The following is a 19,878-nucleotide window of genomic DNA, read 5'->3' as shown; positions in this document are numbered from 1 at the left end:
TCTAAAATATCTCATTGTAAGTAAGACCAGGACAAATTTTTCTTACCTTGACGAAGGTAGTAAATCACCAAGTTTAGCCTAGCTTCAGGAATGACATCAACTAGGGGAGGTAAAACCTGCAAAGCCCCTTCACCTCCTCGGAAAACAACCTAGAGATACAGAAATCATGCTATTATGGCAACAATGATGTATATATTTATTGGTGACAATGTTTAAGGAGCTGGCATATATAACTGGGTTCATGATATTCAACTAAAATAGCTCTGGGAATCAGTTGATATATTGAGAACTTTTACTATTGGCTGAATTTATTATTGCCTACCTAATCCCTATGCTTCTTACCTTCTCTCTTCTTTTCTCTCCTCTCTGCTTTTGATCCTTCTTAACAGCCTTGTCATAATTAAACATTTTATTTTTAACCCTATGTAAAACCTACCTCCATTATCACTCTCTCTATACCCTTGCCCTTCTTTTTTATTCATAGCCCTTATATCTTTATTTTATTGTATATTTCTTTATCTGTTTATCTGTTACATCCACCAGAATATAAGCTCGATATGGCAAGGAACTTTGCATTTACTGTGTATTCCTAGCCCCGAGAACTGCGACTAGTATAGTCAGCACTTGGTTATTTTTTGAAAGGACAAATATATTTTTGAAGCTCTATTGATGCATATGACCTTGACTTCATTGAAAGAAAGCCGTGATCTAAATTATAACAATATACACCTACTGTATACTCACAAACATTTAAATTAAAAAGAGTTAAAAATAAAATTATAACTATGAGAAATAGAATAAAAGCATAACCCTTATTGTGTACTTCTCTTTTCCTCTTCATAAGAACTGCAGAAAACTCCTAAAGTACCCAATAATTAACAAAACTCTTTTCTAGGCAGACATTCTGCATCAAAAACTCCATAAAGGAATTTATATAACCTTTCTGAGCCTGTTTCCTCATCTCTAAATGGCATTAGTAATGCCTACCTTTCAGGTTATTATGAGGATTAAATGAGCAAAAGTGGGCTAAATGGCACATATTTCAGTGTTTCATTGAATTAATTTAGTAAACATTCATTAGCATGTACTATATGCCCACTACTGTAACAAGCACAGGGGTTATAGCAGGAACAGGCCACTCCCCTGTCACCACAGACTATTCAAGTGGGGACAGACCTCCATAAAGCAAACAAATAAATATGTTATCAGGTGATAATAAGTGTTACAGAGAAAAGCTTAGAAATCAAAACAAACAAACAAACAAATCCATGAAAGGACAATTTATTTTGTGTACTGTTGTATTTCTAGAGCCTAGCATAGTGTCTGGAATGTAGCAAACTGTTTCACAAATAAATGCACAGAAAGCAAGGTCATCCAGCATGAACTACAAAATCTCTTCTCTCGACCCCGAAATATCTATTTAGTGCTTTTTTGGTTCCTTTTTCAGATATTCCCTTCTTTTGCCGAGATTAATTCATTCACCTGTCTTCTTGATCCCATGACTTCTAACTCCATCTGAACCTCTTTTCTCCATTAATTATTGTACCTTCAATCTTCCCAAAGCCCTGGTCCTACTTCTCACTTTAAACACACACAAGGGGTTTTTGTTCTCTTGAAAAATCTTCCACTTGGCCCCACTGTTTCCTCTGGATAGTGCCCTATTTTTCTCTTCTTTCAATGCCACACTTCAAAAGTATGTGGCTTACTGCTTCTACTTTCTTCTCATCCTCTCACTCCTTAACCTCTCAAAACATTGGCTTCTGCTCTCAGCATACGAATAAACTCACTCTTAGGAGTCACAAATTAATCTCTTTAGCCAAATTCAATGGACTTTTCTGTCCTCTTGCTCCATGATGTGTCTGCAGTTTTGACACGGATGCCTACAAGATGACAATAATAACAACAATGCCACTTTCTTTTTTTTCTTTTTTTTTTTTTTTAGATGGAGTCTCGCTCTGTCACCCAGGCTGGAGTGCAGTGGCGCGATCTTCGCTCACTGCAAGCTTCGCCTCCCGGGTTCACACCATTCTCCTGCCTCAGCCTCCTGAGTAGCTGGGACTAAAGGCACCCGCCATAACACCCGGCTAATTTTTGTATTTTGGTAGAGACGGGGTTTCACCGTGTTAATCAGGATGGTCTCGATCTCCTGACCTCGTGATCCGCCCACCTCGGCCTCCCAAAGTGCTGGGATTACAGGCATGAGTCACCGCACCCGGCCTATCAATGCCATTTTCTAAATGCATACTGTGTAAAGCACCTTACACATATTACCTCATTTAATCCTCCCCCAAAAAAGCAAGATAAGTACTTTTTTTTTTTTTTGAGATGGAGTCTCCCTCTGTCGCCCAGGCTGGAGTGCAGTGGTGCAATCTTGGCTCACTGCAAGCTTCACCTCCTGGATTCAAGCAATTCTCCTGCCCTGGCCTCCCGAGTAGCTGGGATTACAGGTGCATGCCACCACACCCTGCTAATTTTTGTATTTTTAGTAGAGGTGGAGTTTCACCATGTTGGTCAGGCTGGTCTTGAACTCCTGACCTTGTGATCCACCCGCCTTGGCCTCCCAAAGTGCTGGGATTACAGGCATGAGCCTCCGCGACCGGCCAAAATAAGTACTTTCATTTTCCCTATTCTACATATGAGAACACAGACTCAGCAATGTTAAGTGACTTACCCAAAGTTATAAAACTAGTACATGGTAGAACTTGATTTTGACCTCAAATCTAACTTCAAAAGTTGATGTTTTTTAACAACCACTTATATTGCCCTGATATTTTTCAGGTTTAAAAAAAAAATAAAAGTAATATGTGTTCACTGGAAAAAAATAAAGTATTATGAAAGAAAAATTTCCATATTGTTACTTCTCTTTCTAATCCCACTCTCTAAGAATTATCCCTATTTCATATGTTCCTTTCAGTCATATATTTATATAGTGGTTCTTTACCTTAGCTGTATATTGTATCCACCTGGGATGCTTTAAAAAAAATACTGATAGCTGGGCTCCAGACCAACCATTAAATAAGATTCCCTGGGGATGGGGCCCATGCATCATTAATTTCAAAAGCCTCCCAGGTGACTAAAATGTGCAGTTGTAAATGACATTACATTATCTAGATGCTTCTTCTTGTTTGCCCTTTCTTGTTTCATTTGTTGATACTCCTTCTTCCTGTCCCATAAATACAGATGCTGTTTTGGAACCATATTTTTCTATTTTTAATCCATTCTACAATATTTATTTCACTTCAGCGATTGAAAACCTTCCATATTAATCTGTCAAGACTCTTACAATAACTCCTAAATCTATTCTCAAGTCTTTATCTTTCTCCAAGCTTAAATTCCAGACTATTATGTAACCCATAATTATCCAGAAAAATTAATCGGGTTTCAATTTAGAAACTAAATTTGAAGTTAAAAGATTAGATGCAGAAACTCATAGTAGTAACTATCCAAATAAAACTGTATCTGTGATGGAAGCCTGAATTAGATAAGAAATGGAGTAAATATAAGATACTGCCAACAAGAAGAGAATAGGATTTAGTAACTGAATAGAGATTGGAGATAAAGAGAAGGGGAGTCTAAAACAGCTGTGGTTTACTGGAAGAATTGGTACTACAAAAAGGAATAGAGAAATCAGAAGGAAAAAGCATAGTTATTATTATTGCCACTTCTGGATGAAGAATCTCAGTAGTATTAGATGATTTGCCCAGTGCTCCCAGGTATCTGAATTGAGAGCAGCTGTTCTGCATCTCACTATATTGGTCAATAGAATCATAATCTAGCCCTAAACCCAACCACCCATCCAACTTGAGTGTCTGCTATTCCCCAGTACAAATTTACTGTTCTAGTAAGATCAATCTGCTCACAATCTTTTACATATGTCAGCCTCATTCTAGCTCCATGTCCTTGACTAGAATGAACACTCCAAATCTCAGCCATCCTTCAAAGATGCAAAAATATTTCCCATTTATTTTAAACCACAGAGGGATACGTTCCTTTGTCTTTCTCAAAAAAACAGACACCTGGATCTACACTGCCTTGTGCTTCTTTCCAAATATTAAATATATTCCTGTTCTCCCAACAAGGATTTCCTTAAGGAAACAGATTAGTACTTTAAAACTTATCTCCTCCACAGTGAGGAGGGGTTCCCTTGGAGTAAAGCATTACTTGCTGGCGCATCTCCTTTTATTAATCTTTCTAATTGCTGTGATGTACCAAAGCAGAGTAGGACTGAACTCAGTCAAGACGGGAAATCGTTATTCACCAGATTGTGCCTGATGAGTTCTTTAGCAAATTCAAAGGATGAAGAAGCATTGTCCATCAAGCTTTTGAGTTCTGCCTGAAATTTAAAGAAGAAAGGCTTATGAAAATGACAAGTGTATAGTTCTTATACCACATATTGACACAATGGTTTATAATTTACAAAGAATTTAACATGCTATTTCATTTGATCCTCATGACTCTAGGTCAATGTAATTATTATTACCCACATTTTCAAATGAGAGCAATAATAAATGAAAACAATGAGGCTTATAAAAGTTAAGTGACTTGGGCCGGGCGCAGTGGCTCATGCCTGTAATCCCAGCATTTTTGGAGGCCAAGGCGGGCGGATCACAAAGTCAACAGATCGAGACCATGTTTCCTCTGGTCAACGTGGTGAAACCCTGTTTCTACTAAAAGTACAAAAAAATTAGCTGGGCGTGGTAGCGCGAGCCTGTAGTCCCAGCAACTCAGGAGGCTGAGGCAGGAGAAACACTTGAACCTGGGAGGCAGAGGTTGCAGTGAGCCAAGATTGCGCCACTGCATTCCAGCCTGGCGACAGAGCAAGACTGTCTCAAAAAAAAAAAAAAAAAGTTAAGTGACTTGAAACTTATACTAAGCAGCAAGTTTGAAAACTGGGATACTCAAGTCTGAAGACTACTAGAGTTAGTTTTTTCTTTCAGTGTCAAAGGTGATTAACGAACTAAGCCTTAAACAACTAAGGTTGATTCTTTAATCTGAAAGGAGATGTTAATAAATCCTCCTTTCTTCCCTTTTCTATTTCTATTAGTGGGTTGCTAAGCTTTTCTGGATAAAATCATTAAATTCTTGATTGTTCTTCACTAACTACCACAAACTTGTTCTGCCTGATCTCATAGTTGGGAGTGCATGTCTGCTCAGCAATTTTTTTTTATCACTCTTCTCTTGTCCACAGTACAATTCCAAAATTTTGGGTAATATTAGGTTACATCAGCAGTTTTCAAGCTTTTTGGTCTCAAGATCCCTTTTATACTCTATAAATGATCTCAAATAATTTTTGTTTATGCGGGAAATAGCCATCAATACTTATCGTATCAGAAATTAAAACAGAAAATTTTAAGTATTCAATTCATTGAAAATGGTAGTAATAATATGCCTTAAAATATGTTGGAATTAACATTTGGTCTCAATTTCAGAGCAACTTGTCATTACTGAAAATAAAAACAATTAAATTTTTTTAAAGTTTAAAAATAACAATAATAAACCCCACTACACATTGACATACATATTTTTTTACTTTAAAAAACTGTATTTATCAAATCAAAAATTTAGTGAGAACAATGTTATTGTTTTACATTTTTTGCAAATCTCTTTAATGTCTGGCTTAACAGAGGATAGATGGATTGTCACATCTGTATCTGCATTTGATCTATTTTGAGACCATATTGTGCCAGGTGACAAGGACAAAAAAGAAAGCCCAATACCAGCACAAGGTGGGAAGTCTAGTGAAAGACCCTTCCCACAATCAGCAGGAACTGCTAAAGAGCTACACTGGCAAAGGAAGGATAAAACAGAATTTTCTATGAACTTTTTGGGGACCCCTTGTACATAAATTAATAAAATAAAAAAACAGTTATATAATAGGATTAAAAACAAAAGTTGGTTTTTGAAAAGACTAAAAAACTGTGAAAATGTAAATGAAATTATCAAATTTTTAGAAAAATACAACTTACCAAAAATAACACAAGAAGAAATAGAAAACATGCATAGTCCTATAACCACTAAAGGAACTGAATTAGGTAATTTAAAATCTTCCAAACCTAGATAGTTTTGTCAATAAGTTCTACCAAACATTTAAGAAATATAAAAGCCAATCTTATACAAACTCTTGCAGAAAATAGAAACATATGGTACCTGCTTCAATTCATTCATTTTCCTTTAAGATAACCTTTGCACCAAATCCTGACAAGAACTATACCAAAAAAGCAAATTATAAAACAGTCAAACCATTATGTATTGATGCAACAAATTAAATAATAGCTATCTAATATGTGATATGTAAAGAGAAGAATGAACCATGATGAAGCTGGGTTTATTCTGGTATAACGTTGATTTTTAAAATTTTTTGTTTTTTGAGACAGGGTCTCACTCTGCCACTCAGGCTGGAGTGCAGTGGCGCCATCTTAGCCCACTGCAACCCCTGTCCCCCAGGCTCAAGTGATCCTCCCACCTCAGCCTCCCAAGTATCTGGGACCACAACTACACGCCACCACACCAGGGTAATTTTTGTATTTTTAGTAGAGATGGGATTTCACTGTGTTGTCCGGGCTGGTCTCAAACTCCTGACCTCAAATGATCCGCCTATCTCAGCCTCCCAAAGTGCTGGGATTACAGACGTGAGCCACCATGTCCAGCCTAAAGTTGATTTAACAATAGAAAATACTTCAAATAATTTGCCACAAGAATAAAGGAAAATGATATGACCGTCTTAATAGATGAAGAATACAACATGCTATACTTCAACATCTGATCCTTATAAAACCTCTTAGCAAACTAACACTACAAGGGAAGTTCCTTAATCTGATAAAGGATATCTTTAAAAATCTACATTAAACATCATACTTAATGATGAAATGCCATTTCTTAATGATGAAATATCATCAAAAGCTTTTCCTTTGAGATAAAAAACCTTACAAGGATATTTCTTTTTTTACTTTGTTGGTTTTTTTTTTTTGAGATGGCGTCTAGCTCTGTCGCCCAGGCTGGAGTGCAGTGGCGCAATCTTGGCTCACTGCAACCTCTGCCTCCCAGGTTCAAGCGATTCTCCTGCCTCAGCCTCCCAAGTAGCTGGGATTACAGGTGCATGCCACCATGCCTGGCTAATTTTTGTATTTTTAGTAGAGATGGGATTTCACCATGTTGGCCAGGCTGGTGTGGAACTCCTGACCTCAAGTGATCTGCCTGCCTCTGCTTCCCAAAGTGCTGGGATTACAGGCATGAGCCACTGTGCCTGGCCGGGTAGGTATGATTTCTTAGATTCTGTTGCATACTCCTCATGCTTTGGCAACCCACCACCACACCCCCCACTGTCCCTGTCACCCCACTGCAATCACTTGGTGAGTAAATGAATGACTAGATATCTTACTTCACTGATTATATATATAGAAAAACATCAATATACAGAGATACATTAAGATAGCTAGAAGCAAATCTAACAAAACACATAAAAAGACCAATACAAAGGCAAAGCATGGTGGCTTATGCCTGTAATCTCACTGTTTTGGGAAGCCAAGGCAGGCGGATCGCTTGAGCCCAGGAGTTCAAGACCAACCTTAGCAATGTAGTGAGACCTGTCTCTATTTAAAAAGTTTAAAAAATTAGTTGGACACAGTGGCATACACCTGTAGTCCCAGCTACTTGGGAGGCTGAGGCACAAAGATCACTCAAACATGGAAGGCAGAGGTTATAGTAAGCCATGATCCAGCCACTGCACTCCATCTAGGCTGGGTGAAAGAGCCAGAGCTTGTCTAAAAAAAAAAAAAAAAAAAAAAATCCAATACAAAAAAAAGCACAAAACCTGACTAAAAGAACTTAAAGGTCTGGCCGGGCACGGTGGCTCACACCTGTAATCCCAGCACTTTGGGAGGCCCAGGCAGGTGGATCACCTGAGGTCAGGAGTTCAAGACCAGCCTGGCTAACATGGTAAAACCCCATCTCTACTAAAAATCCAAAGATTAGCAGGGTGTGGTGGCGGATGTCTGTAATCCCAGCTACTCAGGAGGCTGAGGCAGGAGAATCGCTGGAACCCAAGAGGTGGAGGTTGCAGTGAGGCAAGATCACGCCACTGCACTCCAGCCTGGGCAACAAGAGCAAAACTTCGTCTCAAAAAAAAAAAAAAAAAAAAAAAAGAAATTAAAGATCTAAATAAATGGAGAAAGATACCATATTCATGGTTTTAAAGACTTAATTTAAAACTATCAATTATCTCCCAACTCATCCATGGATTCAAAGCAATACAATTAAAATCCTGACAGGTTTGTTTTTGTGTTTGGATTTGGCAGGCTTGTTTTAGAATTCATACTGAAAGATAAAGAGCCAAGAATAGCCAAGACACCCTTGAAGAACACTAACAAGATGGCAAAACTTGCTAGACCCACTACATGTGAAACTTGATTACAAATCTGTAGTAATTAAGGCCGTATGGCATTGAGGGCAAGGATACACAAATGGATCAACAGAATACAGAGTTCAGAAGCAGACATATCTAAACACTGGAATTATTTTCCAAAGGTGGCGGAATAGTAGGAAAAGACTGATCTTTTCAATAAATGGTCTGAAACAATGAGTTATTCTCATGGAAAAAAAAATAAAATTTGACCTCTGCTTCAGTCTACACAAAAATCAATTCCATGTAGAATATGGACTTAAATATAAAAGAAAATCAGGAAATAAACAACATACCCTAAATAACAAATGGGCCAAAGAAACCAAAAACAAAATTAGAAAATACTTTGAGATAAATGAAAGATACAATATAACAAAACTTACGGGATGCAGTTAAAACATTTCTTAGAGGAAATTTTATAGTTGTAAATGCCTATATTTAAAAAAGAAAATAAGAAAGACCACAAATTAATAACCTAACTGTAAAAAAAAAAGAGAAAACTAAACATAAAGCAAACAGAGGAAGGGAAAAATAAAGATTAGAGCAGAAATCAATTAAACAGACAAGAGAATGGAGAAAATCAATGAAACCAGAAGCCGGTTCCTTGAAAAGATTAAGAAAACTTATAGCTAGACTGACCAAGAAAAAAACAACAAACTCAATTTACTAGAATCAGAAATGAAAGAAGGCAATACTACTGACCTTAGAGAAATAAAAAGGATTACAGAGGAATACTGTGAACAATTATAGGCCAATATATTAGATAATTTAAGTGAAAGGGACAAATTCCTAGAAAGACATAAACTATCAGAACTGACTCAAGAAGAAATACTATTAATAGACATACAACATGGATGGATGTGCACAGATTGAAAGACTTAATGTCATTAAGATAGCATTAACCCCCAAACTGATCTTTAGAGTCAATGCAATCCCTAAATAAATTGGATTAATGATTTAAAAACTACAATGAAATAAAAAGCCCAGGCCCAGATGGCTTCACTGCTTAAAATCATACCACTTAAAGAAGAGTTAATACCAGCTCTTCATAAACTCTTTCAAAACACAGAAGACGGAACTTTTCCCCTTATACTATGTGGCTAGTATTACCCCAATACCAAAACCAAAAAAAAATTACAAGAGAAGAAAATGACCAATATATTTTTTGAATATGGACACAAAATCCTCCAAAAAATTCTTAGCAAATGGAATCCTGTAATGTATTAAAAAGATTATTCACGATGACCAAGTGAGATTTATTCCAGGAATACAAGGGTGGTTTAACATTCAAAAATCAATTAATATACCATATCAATAGAATAAAACCCAAAAACTAAATGATCATCTCCATAGCTAATAGAAAAAGCAGTTCCATTAACATCCTTTCATGATAAAAAACATTTGGAAGTTCCCCCACCTGGAAAGAACATTTACAAAAAACCCACAACAAACATCATTCTTAACAGTGAAATACTGGATGCTTTCCACCTACGATCAGGAACAAGACAAGGATATCTGCTCTCAGCACTTCTATTCAACATTGTACTGAAGGTTCTAGCCAGGGCAGTTAGACAAGAAAAAGGAAGAAGAGGTATCCAGACTGGAAAGGTAGTAGCAAAACTATCCTGATTCACAAACATAATCTTATATATAGAAAATCCTCCCCAAAATCTGCAAGAAAGCCAATAAATGAGTTCAGCAAGGTTTCAGGATACAATCAATACAAAAATCAGTAGTACTTCTATTCTCTTGCAATGAACAATTCAAAAATGAAATTAAGGGAACAAGTTAATTTACAATAGCATCAAAAATAATAAAGTACTTAGTAATAAATTTATCAAAAGAAATGTAAAACTTGCCCCATAAAAACCACCAAATATTGCTGAAATTTAAAAACACCTAAATAAATGGAAAAACATTCCATGTGAATGGATTTAAAGACTTAATGTTATTAAGATAGCATTAATCCCAAAACTGATCTTTAATGCAATCCCTATCAGAATCCAATCTGGGTTCTCTGTAGGAATTGATAAGCTGATTCTAAAATTCATATTGAATTGCAACAGATCAGAGTAACCAAAACAATCTGGGAAAACAAACAACAAATTAGGAGGCCGCATACTTCCTGATTTCAAAACTTGCTCTAAGTAAGGAAGATAGTGTGGTATTAATGTAAGGATACACATATAGACCAATGGAAGAGAACTGAGTCCAGAAGAAATGAATCCATTTGTCTATGATAAACTGATTTTCAACAAGAGTGCCAAGACCATTCAAAGGGTGAAAGAATAGTCTCTTCAACAAATGGTGCTGGAATAACTGGATATTTACAAGCAAAAGAATAAAGTTGGACTTTTACCTCATGCCATTTACAAATGTTAATTCAAAATGGATCAAAGACCTAAAAGCTAAGATTATAAAACTCTTAGTGGAAAACACAGGGGAAAATCTTCATGACTCTGGACTTGGCAATGGAATCTTAAATATAACCCCAAAAGTACAAGAAACAAAAGGCAAAAAAAAAAAAAAGGATAACTTTGACTTCATCAAAATTAAAAACTTTCGTGCTTCAAAAAAAATACTATTAAGAAAATGAAAAAATCTATAGGATAGGAGAAAGCATTTGCAATTTGTGTATCTGATAAGGGACTGAACCTAGAATATATGGGAACATGTGAAACTCAATAATAAAAAGACAAATAACTTATTTAAAAAATGGGCAAAGAACTTAAATAGACATTTCTACAAAAAAGATATGCAAATGGCCAACAAGCACATGAAACAATGCTCAACATCATTAGTCATCAGGGAAATGCAAATAGAAACCACAAGATTCCACTTCACACCACTAGAATGGCTAGAGTCAAAAAGTCAGATGATAACAACTGTTGGCAAGAACGCAAAGAAATCAAAACGCTTATATACTGCTGATGGGAATGTAAAATAGTGCAGTTTCTTTGGAACAGTCTGGCAGTTCCCCAGACAATTACATATACAGTTACCATATGACCCTGTGATTCCACTCCTAGGTATAAACCTGAGAGAATTGAAAACATACATACAAACAAAAACTTACACAAAAAGTATAATGTTTATAGAAGCAGCATTCGTAACAGGCAAGAGGTGGAAACAACACAAGTGTCTATCAACTGATGAATGGAAAAAACTAAAAGAGGTATATTCATAAAACGAAATATTATTTGGTCATAAAAATGAATAAAATACTGATAGATGCTACAACATGATGAACCTTGTAAACACTATGCTAAGTAAAAGATGCCGATCATAAAGACCAAATATTATATGATTCCATATATATATGAAATATCCAGAGCAGGCAAATATATAATGACAAAGTACATTAGTGGTTGCTCAGGGCTGGGGGAATGGGGCAATAGGGGTTGATAGCTGAAGAGTATGACTTTTTTTTTTTTTTGAGACGGAGTATCGGTCACCCAGGCTGGAGTGCATTGGTGCAATCTCAGCTCACTGCAACCTCCGCCTCCCAGATTCAAGTGATTCTCGTGCCTCAACTTCCTGTGTAGCTGGGATGACAGGCATGCGCCATCACGTCCGGTTAATTTTTATATTTTTAGTAGAGACAGGGTTTCACCATGTTGGCCAGGCTGGTCTCTAACTCCTGACCTTGTGATCCGCCTGCCTCGGACTTCTAAAATGTTGGGATTACAGGTGTGAGCCACTGCGCCCGGCCATTTCTTTTTTTTTTTTTTCCGGAGACGGAGTCTTGCTCCGTTGCTCGGGCTGGAGTGCAGTGGCGCAATCTCGGCTCATTGCAACCTCCGCCTCCCGGGTTCAAGCGATTCTCCTGCCTCAGCCTCCCAAGTAGCTGGGACTACAGGCGCACGTGGCCACGCCCTGCTAATTTTTTGTATTTTAGTAGAGTCGGGGTTTCACTGTGTTGCCCAGGCTGGTCTCGAACTCCTGAGCTCAGGCAATCCGCCCGCCTCCGCCTCCCAAAGTGCTAGGATTACAGGCATGAGACACTGTGCCTGGCCAACATTTCTTTTTGAGATAATGAAATGTCCTAAGATTGACTGTGGTGATGGTTGCACTTAAGCTGTGACTATACTAAAAAACCAACTGTACACTTTAAAAGGGTGAATTGTATGATATGTTAATTATATCTCAATAAAGCCATATATAAATAAAACTATAAATTAAAGATGTAGGTCATCATATCTACGTTAGAATGAAAGTGACCTTTCTAAAAACATGACACCAATGTTAGAAACCATGTAAGACATATTTCACATGAAACATATCCTTTATGTTCAAATTTTCTTTTCTATTTAAAATATATATTAGGGTTTTGTCTTTTCTAATTTACTAATCTTTGTCTTTTAACTGGAGAACTTAATCCTTTAAAATATAATGTAATTACAGAAAATTTGTGCTTAAAAAGAAAAATAGGCTATTAGAAGATAATATCAGAAGTGATTGGGCACAGTGGCTCATGCCTGTAATTCCAGAGCTTTGGGTGCCCAAGGTGGAAGGATTAGTTGAAGCCAGAAGTTTGAGACCAGCCTGGGCAACATAGCAAGACCCCATCTCTACAGAAAATTTTAAAATTAGCCAGGCACAGTGGCGCATGTCTGTAGTTCCAGCTACTTGGGAGGCTGAGGCAAAAGGATCACTTGAGCCCAGGAGTTTGAGGCTGCAATGAGCTATGATTGTGCTACTGCACAGCCTTGGTGACACAGTGAGACACTGTCTCTAAATAAATAAGTAGATAAATTTTTTAAAAAGAGGATACCAGAAAATATAATCTTGAGCTAGGAAATGGTTTCTTTTTTTCTTTTTGAGATGGAGTCTCACTCTTTGTGCCCAGGCTGGAATGTAGTGGCGCAATCTCAGCTCACTGCAACCTCTGCCTCCCAGGTTCAAGCAATTCTCCTGCCTCAGCCTCCCAAGTAGCTGGGATTACAGGCATGTGCCACCATGCCCAGCTAATTTTGTATTTTTAGTAGAGATGGGGTTCCATCATGTTGGTCAGGCTGGTCTCGAACTCCTGACCTCAGGTGATCCACCCACCTTGGCCTCCCAAAGTTCTGGGATTACAGGCGTGAGCCACTGTGCCTAGCCGGAAATGGTTTCTTAAACAAGATACAGAAAGCACTAAACATAAAGAAACAGATCAATGTGACTATTTTTCAGCCTACAAAATCTTTAATAATTACAAATATTTACTGAGAGTTTACTATGTATATCAAGTTAAGGACTTTACATACCTCATACCATTTAATCTTCACAAGAACCTACAATGAGTCAGTACCATTTTTTCCCTGTTTTACAGATGATGCTTAAGGAGGTTAAGTATTTCACCTAAAGTCACACAGCAACTATGCCAGGGTTGAAATTTGGGTCTATCTGATTCCAAGCCCAAACTCATAATCACTACCCTAGAGGCCGTGCCAGTTTTGGGGGAAAAGTTCTTCAACTCTTTAGTCTCTAAAACCAGCAGCTTTCTCCTCCTTTTTTATTTTATTTTTTTAAACCACTGTCTTACATTCAATGTTTCTATTTTTTCATCATCTGTTTGCCATCCCTTCTGCCATACCCTTTATGAGAATTCCCAGTCTGAGTTGTTACTCACTCACTCCTGATCTCCCTGCAACCTAGCTTCAAGCTCCAATAATAATGATATCCTAATCAGATATGGCAATGTAGGAAACTCTAATTAAAATGGCCTTTTCTCAGTCTTCATTTCTACTGACCTTTTGTATCTCCTCCTTCTTTAAATGTGATTCTCCTTAATTTGTCAGTCATACTTTTAATTTCTCATTCAACAAATAAGCAGTTGGCATCAACTTTGTGCAAGCATTGTGCCCAGTCCTGGGACACAAATGTCAAAAGACACAGTCTCAACCATCAATGAGCTTGTTTAGATTGAAGATAATTAGGCAACTGACAAATAATAAGCAGAATGGAGACATTTTGTGTGTGTGTATTGCAGGACATTTTAGTGGTTAAGTCTATGTTGGAGTCAGACAAAAGTTTGAGATCTGCATTTGCCACTTGTTATGTTAGTTGTGTAAGCCTGAACAAGTTACTCAAAGTAGTTTAAGAATTAAGTCAATCATTACAAATTATTTCCTGTTTACTTTAGAAAAGCAGGATGCTATTGGTGTTTGTGAGACACTGAACAATGTAATACAGACCCTGTTATACAAGTTAGAAGAATGCCTGAATTTAAATAGTTTATTAAAATTATAATAATTAAACATAAACTCTATCTTATTGGTACCAAAAAAAGGTTCTTCTGGTACATTTGACATAGCCTTCTACTGCTGGAGTACATTATAAAATCAATATATAAACTACATTGACACAATTTCAAAGGAAAAAGCTTGCCTTTTGAGGTTAGAAGTACACTCTGATGTCCTAACTTGGATAATTCTAGGTGTATACTATAGATAGGATATTGAGTAACCATACTAGACTATGGAAAAGACATATACAGACAAAATGTAAACATTTAATAAATTGGACCACACACCAAAATTGGTAAATTTCCCCAAGACTGACTCTAGGTAGAAAGGCAAGAATGTATTTCATTTATTTGTTCTTACTAACGGGTGAAAACTCTAAAGATACCAAATTGCTAATCGAGTCTCTTACTAAACTGCTGATGCTGGAAACAAGCCAATTAGGCAGACTTGGGGGACTCCTTAGTTGAAATGACTATTACCCCAAGAATGCATTTTATTTAATATATAAGTATATACTATGTGCTCAAGTGTATACTAAGCAATTCAATTTGGAGGGCAAGGGTAGGATTTTTAAAGTTTGACACATGCAGAAATTTTACATGTAAATTTTGGTGGCTTCTGACATCAACTAAAGTAATAACCATGTTAAATGATCTATTTATACCCACATATTTGTATATAGATATAGTGTAGAACATATTTTCTATTCTATATCTATGTATGTATCTACCTATATCTATATATTATATATGTATATATGTGTATGTGTTAAATAAAATTATGTTATTAAAATGTTAGTAAAGTTATGTGTTATTTAAAACATGTTAAATGAAACAAAAGGAGGTAATAATCTATGGCCTCCTGTGTTTTCTCGGTTTCCTATAAAACGAGAACTACAATAGCCTCTAACCACAGGCTTGTCAGGGAAACTAAATAATGGATTTAAAGTGTTCTGCATGGTGCCTACAAGTTAGCCAATTAAGTATTTATAAAATGTCCACCATTTTTGCCTCTTGGGCTAACCTTTGTTGACGTGTACCAAGCAGAGAAAGAAGGAAGTCATTCCAGGAGTGAGAATGTTGCACACAAAGCTATGGTGGTAAGAGAGCATGGCATGTGGAACAAATTCAGTGGTTGGACTGAAGATAACAAGACTGACTAAAGGCAGGAACACTATTTAAAGGGCCAAAATAAGAGGTGAGAAACTCCTGGGTTAGAATAGTAGCCAAGGAGAAGAAGGGATAGATAAAAGAGATATCTAGGATGTATAGCTGATAGGAACTGATGATTACATGGAGATGAAGAAGAGAGTCAACAGATATGCCAGGGTTCTTTTTTTTTTTTTTTTGAGATGGAGTCTCGCTCTGTCACCCAGGCTGGAGTGCAGTGGCACCATCTCGGCTCACTGAAAGCTCTGCCTCCCGAGTTCACGCCATTCTCCTGCCTCAGCCTCCCAAGTAGCTGGGACTACAGGCGCCCGCCACCACGCCCAGCTAATTTTTTGTGTTTTTAGTAGAGATGGAGTTTCACTGTGTTAGCCAGGATGGTCTCGATCTCCTGACCTTGTGATCCGCCTGCCTCAGCCTCCCAAAGTGCTGGGATTACAGGCGTGAGCCACCGTGCCTGGCCCAGATATGCCAGGTTTCTAATGTGGTTTACTGGATGTATGTTGGTGGCATTCAATCACAGAGCCACACACATATTTTAGAGGAAGAAGCTGAAGCATTTGTTTTTTGGTTTTTGGGTTTTTTTGAGACAGAGTCTCGCTCTGTCACCTAGGCTGGAGTGCAGTGGCTCAATCTCGGCTCACTGAAACCTCCACCCGCCCCCCGAACCCCCCAGTAGCTGGGATTACAGGCATGCACCACCACACCCAGCTAATTTTTTGTATTTTTAGTAGAGATGGGGCCATGTTGGCTAGGCTGGTCTCAAACTCCTGGCCTCAAGTGATCTGCCCGCCTTGGCCTCCCAAAGTGCTGAGCCACAGCGCCCGGCCAGAAGCATTTGGTTTTAAACATAAGCATTTGGTTTTAAATGTAGGGCATCTCAGTAAAATCATCTACAATTTAATGGACATAACACAGATAATTCAGAAGTCAACATTCTTTTTAGAATACCTGATAAACATATAATTAGGTTCTTATAGAATCACAGTGGCAATGATAAAGGGATATTAATCAAGAGTTACAGATAACAGAGTTTCATGAATAACTTGGAAAGTATAAAGTAATTCAAATTGGAATGAAGTACATTAAAAACACACTTCCATCAATACCTCAGCTGCTCTGCCATTGTAAAGGCGAAAATGGTTACAGGCTTTAAGATTGAGTGCGATGGTACTATCAGGAATTTGCTGAAGGTAAACAGCCAAAACTTCTTGAGACACATCATAGTAATCCAACTTGTAGTAGCAGAGGGCCACATAAACATTAAGGGCAAGGTATTCCCTATTAGATGAAAGAATTAGGGTTAACCATTTAAGTCTACTTCACGGAAATGTCAAATTACAAAGCTCAAATGGACAAGGCAAAGAGGACAGTTCATGAACCTGCCTTATGAAGAAAGAGGGCAAGATATGATCAGTATAATTTTTTTCTTTTTGCATTGCAATATTTGGGTGTTTTGATATAAGTAGAATGAAAGATGACTAGAGAAGAAAGGGAAAGTTCACGCTGTTCACACTGAAAAACTAATATATGCAATAATTGAACATAAACACAAGCACACTCCACACAGAAGACCAACAGACAAGACACATAGGCTTGATGGCTGGAAATGGAAGCAGGTAGGAGACTAAGAAGGTAATGCAAAAGAGGATGGAAAGAAGGGGGATGAGATATTTTTGGGAAGGGAGAGAGAGGCCAAGTGTTTAAAGTTGGAATGTAAATTCTTAAGAATGATTTGTATCTAATTTTGTCAGCAAGTTACCTACGATGTAACTATAACACTAAGTTTGATACATCTAGACCATACATTTCAACTGGGGTAATATCAGTATTACCCCCAAAGGGGAAAAATTGGTTCTTAATGGGAGGATGAAAAAATCATAATCATTTTATATGTAAAGCACAGTTATACATATAGTACATATATGGATATATATTAATATACATCTATCAGTATATTAAAATTTCATGGGAGGGCAATTGGGGGAAAAAGTCTTTTAGAAGGGTGACAATGCAAAAAAAGGTAGAGAAAGCCTGATTTAGACAATATCTAATTCTTAATCTCACCAAATTATCAACTAAACAGATTTGAACACATAGTGGTACTAGATCCAGAGGACACTAGATTCTCAAACTAGTTAAAGAAGAAACTAACAAAATGAAAGGAATGGAGAGTGGGCATAAAAGGACACAGACCTGTTATCTAGCAGTATTCGCTTATATATATCTATAGCTTCTTGGTAGTGAGATCGCATATAGTGGATTGAGGCCAAACTGAGTTGATCTTCTGTGACATCCTGAAGATTTTGATGAAAGCTCATCAATTTTTTCTCATCATTAAACTAAAATTGTGAGAGTGGAAAAGACATGTAAAGATTCATATTAGTGTTGTTAGAGAAATCAATATCTATGTGATAGAGATTTTAACTCTTCCTTCTTTAGCCATTGTGTCTCTCTCTTCTTCCTATTTCCCTTAGGTTCTTTGTCTTCTACTTCATTTCTCCTGCAAAGAAACAATGGAAATAGCCTCTGGAGGCATAGCTTGACAACGACAATGGAAAGCCCTTAGGTTACAGTTAATACTATTTGACCCTTCCCCTTATCTTTTCTTTTTCTTTATATTTTCTCCCTTTCCTTTTCTTTTTCTGTCTACTCTCTTTACTATTACCTGGTAACATTTTTAATCTGTTCTTTCTTTCTTCTTTTTTTTTTTTTTTTTTGAAACGGAGTCTTGCCCTGTCCCCCAGGCTGGAGTGCAATGGCACGATCTCGGCTCACTGCAACCTCTGCCTCCCAGGTTCAAGCAATTCTCCAGCCTCAGCCTCCCAAGTTCCTGGGATTACAGGCGCATGCCACCACGCCCGGCTAATTTTTTGTATCTTTGGTAGAGATGGGGTTTCACCATGTTGGCCAGGCTGGTCTTGAACTCCTGACGTCGTGATCCGCCCACCTCAGCCTCCCAAAGTGCTGGGATTACAGGTGTGAACCACTGTGCCCAGCCAATCTGTTCTTTCATATCTCGTTCTTCTTGGTAGACAATAGGGAATCAAAATGTATTTCTCATCATGTAACCTAGTGTATTCAATTTTTAATTTCCTGCTCTACATTTTTTCATCCTTTCTTCAGTTACTATATATTGTTGTTGTTTGAGATTGTCAGAATTCTATTCCAACCTTGTAATGCTTATTTTGTTAGATGGCTGCCGCAAATATTAGCTGCCTTTTGCTTATATATGGGGCAGAACAGATATATTTTTGACAGTGACCCTTAATATGTAGATTGCTCACTCCTGCCTGTTACAGAGAATGACTTATTAGCTTAAAAATTTTGTAAAGAATTGTCTTCTGTAGACTATCTAGTTACATGGAAAAATGTTCATGATACATTTTTAAGTGAAAAGCCTGGTTATAAAACAGAATATATACTATGATACAAATTTGGCAATATAAATATACACATATATACACATATAAAAATACAAATTTTTTAAAGACTGGAAGAAAAGAGAGTAAAATATTACAGTGTTAGCTCTAAGTGGCAGTCTTACAGGAAATCTTGATTTTTGTGTGTATGCAATTTGCTATTTTCTAAAAGTACTATGATGAACATGTATTATTTTTGTAATCAGAAGAAAAACACAATAAAATATATTTCTTTAAATTCAATCAAAGACTTTCACTACTAATAATATTAGAGTAGCTTGTAGTATGCAGTGCTCCCACCAAGAACATCTAGAAAATCTTAAAAACTACTGAAAAATCTGTGTAAAAGGGGCAGGGGCAGTGGCTCACGCCTATAATCCCAGCACTTTGAGAGGCTGAGGTGAGCAGATCACTTGAGCTCAGGAGTTTGAGACCAGCCTGGGCAACATGGTAATACCCTGTCTCTACAAAAATTGGCTGGGCATGGCAGTGCACACTTGTAATCTCAGCTACTTGGGAGGCTGAGGCACAAGGATTGCTCAAGCCTGGGAGGCAGAGGTTACAGTGAGCTGAGATGGCGCCATTGCACTCCAGCCTGGGTGACGGGGAGTGATATCCTGTCTCAAAAAAACAAACAAAAAAAATCTACGTGAAGGGTTCAG

At 37.3% G+C, this 19,878-nt stretch overlaps 1 protein-coding gene across 9 annotated transcripts in view; it reads right to left on the bottom strand.

The window, feature by feature from the left end:
• Positions 1–19,878, bottom strand: part of IFT56 (intraflagellar transport 56) — a 58,209-nt gene that overhangs the window by 26,706 nt on the left and 11,625 nt on the right. For 5 of the 9 annotated variants that reach the window (NM_001321740.2, NM_024926.4, NM_001144920.3 and 2 more), the window contains 4 exons: positions 17,991–18,136; positions 16,904–17,075; positions 4,259–4,333; positions 47–149 (listed from right to left, as the gene is read on the bottom strand). In NM_001321740.2, coding sequence (NP_001308669.1) covers positions 47–149; positions 4,259–4,333; positions 16,904–17,075; positions 17,991–18,136 — 496 coding nt within the window. Of the gene's footprint in view, positions 1–46; positions 150–3,935; positions 4,334–16,903; positions 17,076–17,990; positions 18,298–19,878 lie in introns of those variants that run through there. The other 4 variants (NM_001318333.2, NM_001321742.2, NM_001321741.2 and 1 more) reach the window with 4 other exon arrangements.

The sequence above is a fragment of the Homo sapiens genome, chromosome 7, assembly GCF_000001405.40.
Source record: "Homo sapiens chromosome 7, GRCh38.p14 Primary Assembly".
Classification (NCBI taxonomy): Eukaryota; Metazoa; Chordata; class Mammalia; order Primates; family Hominidae; genus Homo; species Homo sapiens.
Note: the sequence above shows the minus strand (reverse complement) of the source record. Positions and strands in the feature narration are given on the sequence as shown.